The sequence below is a fragment of the Homo sapiens genome, chromosome 2 (genome assembly GCF_000001405.40).
Source record: "Homo sapiens chromosome 2, GRCh38.p14 Primary Assembly".
In the NCBI taxonomy this organism is placed as follows: Eukaryota; Metazoa; Chordata; class Mammalia; order Primates; family Hominidae; genus Homo; species Homo sapiens.
Genome location: NC_000002.12, coordinates 223,937,477 through 223,950,374, shown reverse-complemented (window position 1 = coordinate 223,950,374; position 12,898 = coordinate 223,937,477). Strand labels below are relative to the sequence as shown.

General features: G+C 47.0%; 1 protein-coding gene and 1 long non-coding RNA gene across 3 annotated transcripts in view, besides 3 other annotated features; one reads left to right on the top strand and one right to left on the bottom strand.

Moving 5' to 3' along the window:
* LOC124907989 (uncharacterized) lies at positions 588 to 7,151 on the bottom strand. 2 transcript variants are annotated; one of them, XR_007088100.1, is made up of 2 exons: positions 5,968 to 7,151; positions 588 to 2,534 (listed from the first exon to the last, which is right to left on the bottom strand). It is a non-coding gene; the product is annotated as an uncharacterized LOC124907989 (long non-coding RNA). The 2 variants fall into 2 exon arrangements; XR_007088101.1 differs by lacking the exon at positions 5,968 to 7,151 and adding an exon at positions 5,820 to 5,896.
* Positions 5,040 to 12,898, top strand: part of WDFY1 (WD repeat and FYVE domain containing 1) — a 69,988-nt gene continuing 62,129 nt past the window's right edge. The window contains exon 1 of the mRNA NM_020830.5: positions 5,040 to 5,227. Within this exon, the coding sequence (NP_065881.1) occupies positions 5,091 to 5,227 (137 nt within the window). The 5' untranslated portion in view covers positions 5,040 to 5,090. The remainder of the gene's footprint in view (positions 5,228 to 12,898) is intronic.
* Positions 5,289 to 5,468: a silencer, noted in NCBI's record as "silent region_12378". NCBI's record gives its function as "represses an Ori minimal core promoter by ATAC-STARR-seq in GM12878 lymphoblastoid cells {active_cell/tissue: GM12878}" and the evidence as "EXISTENCE:reporter gene assay evidence [ECO:0000049][PMID:35858748]".
* Positions 6,039 to 6,098: an enhancer, noted in NCBI's record as "active region_17183". NCBI's record gives its function as "activates an Ori minimal core promoter by ATAC-STARR-seq in GM12878 lymphoblastoid cells {active_cell/tissue: GM12878}" and the evidence as "EXISTENCE:reporter gene assay evidence [ECO:0000049][PMID:35858748]".
* Positions 6,109 to 6,228: an enhancer, noted in NCBI's record as "active region_17182". NCBI's record gives its function as "activates an Ori minimal core promoter by ATAC-STARR-seq in GM12878 lymphoblastoid cells {active_cell/tissue: GM12878}" and the evidence as "EXISTENCE:reporter gene assay evidence [ECO:0000049][PMID:35858748]".

Genomic DNA, 12,898 nt, shown 5'->3' with positions numbered 1-12,898 from the left:
GCTGAGGCAGGAGAATTGCTTGAACCCAGGAGGCAGAGGCTGCAGTGAGCTGAGATTGTGCCACTGCCCCCAACCTGGGTGACAGAGTGAGATCCTGACTGAAAAAAAAAAAAAAAAAGAGGGCTGGGCACAGTGGTTCACGCCTGTAATCCTCACAATTTGGGATGCTGAAGCTGATGGATCACTTAAGGCCAGGAGTTCGAGACCAGCCTGGCCAACATGGTAAAACCCCACATCTGCTAAAAATACAAAAATTACCAGGGCATGATCGGCACACACCTGTAGTTCTAGCTACTCAGGAGGCTGAGGCACAAGAGTTGCTTGAACCGGGGAGGCAGAGGTTGCAGTGAGCTGAGATCCCAGCAGTACACTGAAGTCTGGGTGACAGAGTAGTAACACTCTGTCTCAAGAAAAAAAAAAAAAAGGTAAACCAAGGCACAATAATATTTTAAAGGGCTTATTTGTGTAAACAGCAATTCATGAATCGGACAGCTCTAAACCGGAAGTGTTTCCAGGGCTCTGTTGGAGAAGCATAAGGGTCAAACTTGGAAGAGTGAATGCAGAAATAATGCAAAGAAAATAATTGATTACAGTTATAAAGTGGCTTTATTTGGTCTATCCTGTGGGAAAATCCCTAGTTATTTAATTGTAAGTCTGTTGACTGCTTCTGAATGGTTGAGCTTAAGTTTTGTTTTTCTTTAATACAGGCATTTACAAGAAATAGTTCAAGTTAAGTTTCACTTATGTTTGCAAATCAAGCAAGGTTAAGATCACTTAGGAGGACTGACTGGCTTTGTCTCTTCGGGGAGTCTTCAGCCCTGGTTTCCATTTTAATTTAGTTTAACAGGCGAATCCCTGATTAAAATTTTTGAACAAGTATTTGTAGAGGGCCTTTCTCTCACTTAGTTTTGACCATCCTGCTGCCTTAAGATCAAGCATAAACTTGGCTCCTGAACTCTACCACCACCCAGTGAGCATCTGCTGACCCTGCAGAGGGTGGCACAGCAGGTTCCATCACTGTGCATTTAACTCCCAGAGTAATGGCTGCAGTCCAGACCTCTCTACTATTCAGTAGCATATACAAAACTCCTATATTCAGGCTGGTCATGGTGGCTCACGCCTGTAATCCCAGCACCTTGGGAGGCTGAGGCAGGTGGATCACCTGAGGTCAGGAGTTCGAAACCAGCCTGGCCAACATGGCAAAACCCCGTCTCTACTAAAAATACAAAAATTAGTCAGGCATAGTGGCACACGCCTGTAATCCCGGCTGCTGGGGAGGCTGAGACAGGATAATTGCTTCAACCAAGGAGGTGGAGGTTGCAGTGAGCCAAGATCGCACCACTGCACTCCAGCCTGGGCAACAGAGCAAGACTCCATCTCAAAAAAAAAACAAAAAAAACAAAAACAAACAAACAAACAAACAAAAACCTCCTGTATTCAACTGCCTACTCAGCCCCTTCACTTGGAGACCTAATACTCGTCTCAAGCTTCCTATGTCCAAAACTGAATTCTCCTTCTTCCCTTCCAAACCTGCTCCTCCTACATTTTCCACAGATCAGTAACTGGCAGCTCCACTTTTCCAGTTGCTCAGCCCACAAATCTTGGTATCATTCTTAACTATCTCATATTCAATATTCAACAAATTTCACTGGTACTACCTTCTACATAAGTCTAGAATCTGATGTCCTCTCACCACCAGCACCCTTAGAAAGCCACATCATTTCTCAATTACCCTGTTAATTTCTCAAATAACTTCCTGACTGACACCTTGCTTCTATTCTTGCCTTTTAAAATTGAAGGCAGATTAGCCCAGGCGCAGTGGCTCATGCCTATAATAATCCCAGCACTTTGGGAGGCCAAAGTGGGTGGATCACCTGGGGTTGGGAGTTCGAAACCAGCTTGGCCAACATGGTGACACCCTCTCTACTAAAAGTACAAAAATTAGCTGGGTGTGGTGGCACGTGCCTGTAGTCCCAGCTACTTGAGAAGCTGAGGCACGAGAATCACTTGAACCCAGGAGGTGGAGGTTGCAGTGAGCCAGGATCGCACCACTGCACTCCAGCCTGGACGACAGAGTGAGACTTCGTCTCGAAAAATAAATGAATACAAATTTAAAAACTTGAAGGCAGATTAAACCAGCCTTCTGTTCGAAACTCTCCAATGGCTTCCTATCTCATTTGAAGTAAAAACCAAAGCCCTTATCAATGGTCTCTGGGCTCAACATGGTCTGTCTGGTGACCTGTCTGTGCTGTTTTTCTCTGAGCACTCCCTCACTCACTCTGCTCCAGCCTCACGGGGTGCCTGGCTGTCTCTACAAAACCCCTGGCATGTGCTCACCTCAATGCCTTAACACGTGCTCTTTTCTTTTCCAGAAAAGTATTTGGCCCACATTTCCACATGGCTTACTCCCTCCTCTCCTTCTTGGCTCAAAATGTAACTTTACAATGAGGCTTTTACTTGTCTCAGGTTGCATTCTCCAGCAGCAGATACGGTGATAGAGGTTGGCTCAGAGGGTGTTTATTAGGAATCAATGCCTGTGAAGGGAGGGGGAGGTACCAGGATTAGGCAGGAGAAGTCAGCTGCAGTACACGCCTTACAAAGCCTTGTCCAATCTAGGAGAGAGTTCTAGAGCAAGTGTTGCTCATCGGTCTGTCTTGATGGTCAGGCCTTTATCCTCCTATCTTGTTCAGTTACTGAATGTGGGCTTCCCTGTGAAGGGAACAACTGAGACCCAGTGGTTCTCAGCAGCTGGGGCAGTCCCTGAAGGAGCTGAAGGCTAGAGGCTCTCTGCTGACCACTGTTCTTCCCTGAAAGCAGATCTGTGCAGTGTATTCCTGAATCTATCACACCATCTATTTAAAATCGCAACATCCCCTAGAGTCCCTATCACCCTTCCCTGCTTTATTTTCTCCATAGCATTTAATAGCATTGAACATCTTCTAATATATTATATAATTTAGTTTACTATCTGTTTCCTTCACTGGGATGTAAGTTCTAACAGCAGAGGGATTTTTGTCTCTCTTGAGCACTGCTGCATTTAGAATGGCACCTGGCTCACAGCAGGCACTTGGGAGATGTTGGTTGATTAAACAAAGTTGTTCAGTAGCGTGTCTAGTCATTACACTGTACAGCCTCACAAAAACCATGTCTTATTAATCTCATCAGCAACAGCATATAGTAAGTGTGCGATATATGTCTGTTGAATATAGGAATAAATAAATTCATGAATGTTTGTTAATAACTTCATCATGAGAAAGTATTAGTACAATGGTGGCTCCTGCCCGTAATCCCAGCATTTTGGGAGGCTGAGGTGGGCAGATGATTTGAGGGCAGAAGTTTGAGACCAGCCTGGTCAACATGGTGAAACCCTGTCTCTAGTAAAAATACAAAATTAGCCAGGCATGGTGGTAGGTGCTTGTAATCCCAGCTACTCGGGAAGCTGAGACAGGTGAATCCCTTTAACCTGGGAGGCGGAGGTTGCCGTAAACCGAGATCGCACCACTGCACTCCAGCCTGGGTGACGGAGTGAGTTCGTCTCAAAAAACTAAAACAAAACAAAACAAAAACAAAAAGAAAGTTCTAGTAAATCACTGTACATAGAAGTACCATCTGATTCACATCCATAATTTAAAGTTTTTATTAGCTACCTTAAAAAAATAAGCAGGTCATATTAATTTTAATAGTATCTAACTCAATATATCCAAAATAGTATCATTTCAACATGTAATCATTGTAACAATTATTGATGAACTATATTACATCTTTTTTGTTTTGTGCTAAGTCTATAAAATCTTGTAGTATTTTGCACTTGTACTACATCTCAGTTTGGACAAGCCACATTTCAAGTGCTCTATAGTCATGTGGATAGTACGGTTCTAATGCAATTCTGCAATTCAGGTGTCAGAATAATATAGTGGGGCAGAAGTTTGGAGTCATTGACTTCCTGAGTCCAAATTTTGGCTCTTGAACTTACTGGTTGTCAATGACCTCTAGCCAAAAACCACCAGGAACAAATGGGGTTGATTGCTTGTTGGAGGGAGAAGACACACCATTGGGAATGGTGAGGTGTCTGGGTAAAGGGATGTTCGGACAGTTTTATTATAGGATTTGTGTTTGTGTTAGGTGACCTGGGAGAGCTTAAGGAAGAGAGGCTCTCCTGTGGACTGGATGTTGTCAGGAAATGCGTATAATTCTAAGGTTGCATATCTTAATAAATCTTATCTAAATGGAGGAAGACTAGATAGCGGTTAACATTATAATTAATAAAGAAATAAGAGTCACTCATATTAGCCAGGATAGGGGGATGTTTGGTAATTTCTGTGGCTTGTACATCGCTCATATTTTGGCCGTGTTTAGATGTGATTATGGAGTGGCCTCGTCTGATGTTTATGTTCCACAGGAAGCAAACACTTCCTAGCAACACCAAAGCTCAGCTGATAGTACCAGGCAGCTCCTGGAGATCAAGGGCTGCTTTTCTCCCTCTCATAGCTGTGCAACCTTAAGGTAGTGATCAAACTTCTCTGGTTGTTTTCTCATCTCTAAAATGGGAATACAAGAGCATCTATTTCATCTCTTAAAATTATCAGTATTAAATGAGATGCAAAGACACTGAGTTAATGCCTGGTATATGGTCACCACTCAGTGCTATCTATTGTAGTTCAAAGATTCTAAGATGCACTATATTTTTTCACATTTTAACATTTCTGAAAGTGTGTGCCTTTCAAACAATGGCTTCTTCAAATGGATGAAATGTAGTATTGTAATTTCTGAAATCTCTGGTTTGGGGGACAATTCCTTGTCCCCTCCAGGTGCTCAATTTATTCCTGGGTGAATGGCTTTACTTTTAAACCTTCCTTACTTTCCCCATTTCTCCGCAGGCGCCCCGTGGCATCCTCTCCCAGCCACAGACTTTCAGCTTGCGCGGCATCCCCAGGCAATACGGGCGGTGCGGCGGCAGCACTCGGGGGCTTACGGCGGCGCGGCGCCCAAGAGGCCCCAGCAGCCGAAGGGAAACCGGCGCGTCCCCCGCCCGCCCAGGCGTCAGCTGATGGGCTGCCTGCCGAGGAGGCCGCAGCAGTCGCCGCGCGAACATGGCGGCCGAAATCCACTCCAGGCCGCAGAGCAGCCGCCCGGTGCTGCTGAGCAAGATCGAGGGGCACCAGGACGCCGTCACGGCCGCGCTGCTCATCCCCAAGGAGGACGGCGTGATCACGGCCAGCGAGGACAGGTAGGGCCCGGGCGCAGCCGGGGCGGCCCGAACTCCGCGACGACGGGGTGTGGGGGCGGTGGGGTCCGCGGCCCCGGTCCTTCCTGCGTGAGGGGGCTCCCCCGGCAGCACGGCCCCACCCCCACTCTGCGCCCCTTAGCTCCGCCGGGTTCCCGGTTCCCTCCCGCCGGTCCTCCAGCCTCGACTTGCACCTTTCCAGCCTGGGACCCCGGTCTCGCCGCGCCCCTCCAGCCCGGATCCCCTGTCCCACCGCGCCCCTCCAGCCCGGGAACTCCGTCTCACCGCGCCGCCCAAGCCCGGGACCCTTGTTCCAACGTGTCTTTCCAGCCCAGGACCCCTGTTCCAGTGCGCCCTACCGCGCCCCTCCCAGCCCACCTCGCCCCTCCTGCTCAGGACCCCTGTTCCAATGCTCCCCAACGCGCCCCTCCAGTCCGGGACCCTTGTCCCACTGCGCCCGTCCATCCCGGGAGCTCCGTCCCACCGCGCCCCTCTAGCCCGGATCTTCTGTCCCACTGCGCCCCTCCAGCCCGGGAACTCTGTCCCACCGCGCCACTCAAGCCCGGGACCCCGGTTCCAGTGCGCCCCAACGCACCTCTCCAGCCCAGGACCTCTGTCTCACCGCGCCCCTCCAGCGCGGGAACTCTGTCTCACCGCGCTGCTCAAGCCGGGGACCCCTGTTCCAGTGCGCACCAACGCGCCCCTCCCAGCCCACCGCGCTCCTCCAACCAGGGAACCCCGACCTGCGGTGTCGCACTAGCCTGGGACCTTCGTCCCGGTCTCTCTCCCTGGCGGGGTTTAGCCTGGTACTCGGAAGGTGTTTCTTGGCCCTCCCGGGTCAGTTCCAAATCGTCTCCTCTGGAAGCGTGGAGGACCGGCGGCTGGTCACTGCGGACCCTGGTGCCCGGGGCTTGCTTCTTTGCGAGGAACTCCAGCCGCCTTCGCTCTCTTCCTCCCCCTGTACTCAGGGATTTCACGCCACGCCAGGCCTCTAGATCAGTTATTTTTGCCACGGCTGCTAGAATCACCTGAACTCTTATTTACTAAATAGGTTTTTGTGAAAGTGACTCATTTTTAAAAATATTTGGATGCATTTATTTTAAAAGGAAATCTTATTTATTAGGAAAACTAACATTACTCACCAGACAGAGTAAACTAATAACTAAAACATGTTAATTGGCATGCACACAGAGTCCTCTCTTGCACTGTGACATCTTGCATTGGACGCCCACCATGCTTTTGGGAAACACTGATTGGGTCCAGTTTTCTCATTTCTCCTAAGAGGAAGCCGAGGCTGGTGGAGGTGTAGCTTGCTGCTAAGTTACAGAGATACTGGTGAAGCCGGAAATGCAATCCAGAACTCCCACCAGCTCTGGGCCTGAGTGATTGGATTGGAACAGTATTTATGATTCGACTTTAAACTTTAGCGTCTTTCAAATCCTAAAGGTTTACAATGTCAGTAGCTTTCCGGTGGGAATTTGAAGGAAATGACTGATGTTTATTGAATGAAACTGTGTTTCCTTGATGCAATGAGCCGTCTTAAATAGGGATAGTCCACAAGTCCAAAAGCTTTCTGGAGGATGGAAGGTACTGCTATTCTCTTAAAGCTGAAGGCGTGGTCTCTAGCCTTTTGTAATTATACCTTTTGAAGTGACATTGACCCTATCCTGAATGGGAAGAAAAAGCCTGAAGCCCCCAACTCCTGTTGGTCCTTTGGATTTTGCTTTTGAGTGAGCTTGTGCCTTTTTCCTCAATTAGATAATGAGCTGATTGTGAGCAGGCAGTGGCCTCTCCCTGCTGGTTCACCTGTAGCTGACTTCCAACAAGGAGGGGAGTGATTGGCAGGACCTGGCTGTGGGTCTGTAAAGCAGAAAGGAGTGAGAGAGATCGAGTGCATGAGACCTGGGGAGAAGGTGGGGACCTGAAAAAGGCAAGGACAGAATAATGACTTTTTTTTTTTTTTTTTAAGATGGAGGCTTGCTCTGTCACCCAGGCTGGATGGAGTGCAGTGGCATCATCTTGGCTCACTGCAACCTCCGCCTCCCAGGTTCAAGCGATTCTCCTGCCTCAACCTCCTGAGTAGCTGGGACTATAGGCGCCTGCCACCACGCCCAGCTAATTTTTCTATTTTTAGTAGAGACAGGGTTTCACCATGTTGGTCAGGATGGTCTCGATCTCCTGACCTCGTGATCCACCCGCCTTGGCCTCCCGAAGTGTTGGGATTACAAGCATGATCCACTGGTGTCCGGCCAGAATAATGACTCTTGCATGATGTGAACGTAGATGCAGACAACACTCTTTAAAAGTTAGCCTTTGGGCCGGGCGCGGTGGCTCACGCCTGTAATCCCAGCACTTTGGGAGGCCGAGGCGGGTGGATCATGAGGTCAGGAGATCGAGACCATCCTGGCTAACAAGGTGAAACCCCGTCTCTACTAAAAATACAAAAAATTAGCCGGGCGCGGTGGCGGGCGCCTGTAGTCCCAGCTACTGGGGAGGCTGAGGCAGGAGAATGGCGTGAACCCGGGAAGCGGAGCTTGCAGTGAGCCGAGATTGCGCCACTGCAGTCCGCAGTCCGGCCTGGGCGACAGAGCGAGACTCCGTCTCAAAAAAAAAAAAAAAAAAAGTTAGCCTTTGGCCAGGCGCAGTGGCTCATGCCTGTAATCCCAGCACTTTGGGAGGCCGAGGCGGGTGGATAACAAGGTCAGGAGGTCGAGACCATCCTGGCTAACACGGCGAAACCCAGTCTCTACTAAAAATTCAAAAATTAGCCAGGTGTGGTGGCAGGCGCCTGTAGTCCCAGCTACTCGGGAAGCTGAGGCAGGAGAATGGCGTGAACCTGGGAGGCAGAGCTTGCAGTGAGCCAAGATTGTGCCACTGCACTCCAGCCTGGGCGATAGAGCCAGACTCCGTATCAAAAAAAAAAAAAAGTTAGCAGCCTTTATTCGGTCAAATATTTTATTCATGAATCATGCGTTTTGGGTAAGTTGCTAAATATTTGAGATTGCTGGTCAGGAGCAGTGCTGATAAATGTTTTTGGAAAGTGATTACTAAGCTGCTCTGGGACTGAAACGTTCTGGGGGAGCTTGCATCTGCTCACTTTTTCACTCGTGCACCACTGTTATTGCAGAGCCCAGGTAGATGACTGGACCAGGATGGGGTTGGCGTTTGAGGTTTCTGTTGTGTTCAGGCTCTTGCAACTTCCTTGAAGGGAGAACAACCTTTTTAGTAGGTGCTACACTTCATGAGATGTAATGAAAGCACATGGGCGTGGGTTTTTTCTTGGTGTTAGCCATGGTGGTTTGTTTTCACATTGTCATAAATACGTGTCACGTTCTTCACTCATTTACTCATTCATTTAGAAAAAGCTTTTTTATTGAGTGTCAGGCCCTGAGGACACAACAGGGGTCAAAAGCCACACTACCTTGGCCAGGCAAGGTGGCTCACGCCTGTAATCCCAGCACGTGTGTGGGGCCCATGCTAGACCTGTGGGGGAGAGACAGCTGACAGCTAAGTTGCTCTTTCCCAAGGGCTGAACAGTCTAGTGAAGAGATGGCCCCTATGTATTCAGCATCCAGTGCTGGGAAGACACAGGAAGAGGAGGCTCTTTGGGCTGGGGCCGGGGTTTGGGGACAGCCTCCTAGAGAAGGTCGTTGAGCTGGTCTTCATGGATAGAGGAGTGGCATCTAGAAAGGAAGGAGGGATGCACCCTCATCCCAGGCAGAGGAAGGAGGAAAGGACAGGAGGGAATTGTAAGAGGGAAAGAACCATAGCTATTTCTAAGTGACCAGAGCAAAAGGTGGGCAGTGACAATAGCAACAGAGAAGACTGAGAGCTAGAAGGACCCAGTGTCCGGTTTTGTTTTGTTTTTTAAATTAAAAAAAAAAAGTTTTTGGGGGCCAAGTGCGGTGGCTCACGACTGTAATCCCAGCACTTTGGGAGGCCAAGGCAGGCAGATCACCTGAGGTTAGGAGTTCAAGAACAGCCTGGCCAACATGGTGAAACCCCATCTCTACTATAAATACAAAAATTGGCTGGGTGCAGTGGCTCACACTTGTAATTCCAGCACTTTGGGAGGCCGAGGCGGGTGGATCACCTGAGGTCAGGAGTTTGAGACCAGCCTGACCAACATGGAGAAACCCCATCTCTACTAAAAATACAAAATTAGCTGGGCGTGGTGGCACATGCCTGTAATCCCAGCTACTTGGGAGGCTGAGGCAGGAGAATCACTTGAACCCAGGAAGCAGAGGTTGAAGTGAGCCGAGATCATGCCATTGCCCTCCAGCCTGTGCAACAAGAGTGAAACTCTGTCTCAAAAAACAAAAACAAAAAAACCCACAAAAATTAGCTGGGCATGGTGGCACACACCTGTGGTCCCAGCTACTTGGGAGGCTGAGACAGGAGAATCACTTGAACCTGGGAGGCGGAGGTTGCAGTGAGCTGAGATCACGCCACTGCACTCCAGCCTGGGCAACAAGAACAAAACTTTGTCTCAAAAAAAAAAAAAAGAAAGAAATAAGGAATTTGGACCTTATTTTGCAGGCAGTGTAGAACCATCAAAGAGTTCAAAACAAGCAAATGATATGATCGGAATTTGTAATTTAGAAATAACAATAGCTAACCTGTTGAAAGTCCCTTTTCTCTACGAGTACAGAATTGGACCTTATGTGTTATTGGATCCAATCCTCACACTTCCTCCCTATAAGGTAGGTACAGTCACCTTCTCTTATCAGCAGTTCCAAAATTTAGTGCATTCTAAACGTCAGAAGTGTGTATGTGTGTGTGTAAATTGGACCTGAAAACTCGTTTGGTGCTAAAATTTGGCCTGAACAAATGAGACTGTTTGTAATCTTTATTTACTGCATGCATCACAGTGGCATGATCTTGGCTCACTGCAACCTCTGCCTCCCAGGTTCAAGCGATTCTCCTGCTTCAGCCTCCCGAGTAGCTGGGATTACAGGCACCCGCCACCACACCCAGCTAACTTTTGTATTTTTAGTAGAGACAGGGTTTCACCGTCTTGGCCAGGCTGGTCTTGAACTCCAAACCTCGTGATCCACCCGCCTCGGCCTCCCAAAGTACTGGGATTACAGGCATGAGCCAGTAGCTTTTTACATTTAAAGTAGGGTCCAGCTGAAGTGAATTCATTTTACAAACGCTAAAAGCAGTGAGAACTAGCTGAGAGCATTTTGAGAAGAAAAGTGAAAGGTATGAAGGTTTTCCTGAAGTTAGTATCCACTTTTGTAAAATCTAGGCCAGTGGTTCTGGGCCAGGGGTGGTTTTCCCACCCAGGGAACATTTGGTAATATCTGGAGACATTTTTGGTTGTCATGATGTGGGGGAGGTGATATGGTTTGGCTGTGTCCCCACCCAAATCTTATCTTGAATTGTAGCTCCCATAATTCCCATGTGTTGTGGGAGGGACCCAGTGGGAAATAATTGAATCATGAGGGCAGTTTCCCCCATACTGTTCTCGTGGCAGTGAGTAAGTCTCAGGAGATCTGATGGTTTTACAAGGGAAAACCCCTTTGGCTTGGTTCCTATTTCTCTCTTGTCTGCTACCATGTAAGACATGTCTTCTGCCTTCCACCATGATTGTGAGGCTTCCCTAGCCACATGGAACTGTGAGTCCATTGAATCTCATTTTGTTTATAATTACCTAGTTTCTGGCATGTGTTTATCAGCAGTGTGAAAACGGACTAATACTGTATGTAACTAATACTGGCATCTAGGTAGAGGGTAGGGATGCATCTCAGTATCCTGTTATGCCCCACACCAAAGGATTATTGAGCCCCAAATGTCAATAGTGCTGATATTGAGAAACCCCAGTCCGGGCTTCATGTACTTATCTGGCCTCTCTAGAACACTGGTTCCTTAACTTGAATGTGCATCAGAATCACCTGGGGGTCTTGTTGAAATTCGGGTTGCTGGACCCCACCCCCAGAGTTTCTGATTTGGAAAGTCAGGTGGGGCCTGAGAGTTGGCATTTCTGCCAAGTTTCCAGGTGACGTTGATGCTGATGCTGCTAGTCCAGGGACCACACTTAGAACCACGGCTCTACAAGAAAGGAGGGTTATTTGTCACTGTGCTTGCCTATGTACAACCACCAAGAAAGAATACTGAATACAGAAATTAGCCAGGCATGGTAGTGTGCACCTGTAATCCTAGCTACTTGGGAGACTGAGACGGGAGGATCACTTGAGCCCGGTAGGCGGAGGTTGAGGTGAGCTGAGATCGTGCCACTGCACTCCAGCCTGGGTGACAGACCAAAACCCTGTCTCAAAAAAAAAAAAAAAATACTGCTTACATTTTATCCTCTTTTTTTTTGTCACCTTCTGGGATATATTTACCTGGGGTCATTCACAGATAGCCACCTAGTTCACTGTAATCAAACTGCATATGACAAAGCTAGATACGGTCAGCACTCCAAAGAGTATTAAGCCAATGTGGAATATCAAAGCTTAATGCCATTACACCTGGGAGTCACAGGTCATTAGTGGTTTGGGTGGTCAGCTTAGGGTTCTGCTTAGAAACCTTTATGGATTAATGTCTCGTGAATGGTTAATAGAAAATGGTACTACTTCTTGTATGAAGTCATTAGTATTTTGCTGAAGTAATAATTACCTTAAGCTCTTTAATTTAAATTTAAGTTTAAGAATTTGAACTACAGTGGTGACTTTCCTGGTAGGGGAAACAGAAAATAAGACTCTGCTTTCAGAGCGGAACTAAAATGGTGAGACAGTAGGAACCAGTATGTTTGCTTTTTGGACTTTTTTGCTGTGGACTGCACCAAAAATGTAGACAGTCAGTTGATTGAATGATACAATTTTTAAAAGGTAAAAGCTTTATAAAGCCTTATAAATAAGTTAAGGCTATAGGCCTACTGTCTTCACTTTTGAGAAATAGAGTTTGTGGATGGACGTACTTATACTGTTGCATTAGGGGCTCGTAGGCCAAGATTGGTTTCTGCAGGAAACTCAATTTTGTTTGTCCCAAGTTAAAGATAAATCTCATGTGATTTAAAATGTTTTGAGATGTTGCACTTAGGCTGGGAAAGAGTAAAGATTACAGAAAACCAACTTTTAGATGTTTTTTAGCATTTTCCTTTTTTAAAAATTATACCAAATATGTAATATATTTGCTTCCACTTAGATATATCTAAGTTTATTAAGATGGTTTGGGGAAAAATTTGTGTATTTACCAATTGTTCACATAGAAACAATCTTAAATAAATAACTTGATTTTTAAGTGTTATGCCTGGGAGGAAGGCTGGCATAGCTGGAATTCATTAGTTAATACAGAAAACCAGGATGTTAACTGCTGTATTTTCATTGTCATGCAGAGCCTAAAAGTAGACTTTAATTTGTGTTATAAAATAAACTGAAGACTTGAGAAGGCAGGAAGCCTGGGTGGCCACCCCACACATTTACTCCTGTATTGTTAGGGTGATCCTTCATTGTTACAATCATTTTCTTTTTATAGCATAGTTAAGAACAAAGGCTTGGGAGCCAGAATGCCTCAGTTTGAATCCCAGCCCTGTGATCTTAGACAAGTTATTTAACCTCACTGTATCACAGTTTTCTCATGTGCAAAATGGACATGAGTCCGTTTTGTACCTGCTTTACAGAGTTTTGTGAGGATTAGGTGAATTAAACCACGTGGAACAGTGCCTAGCAC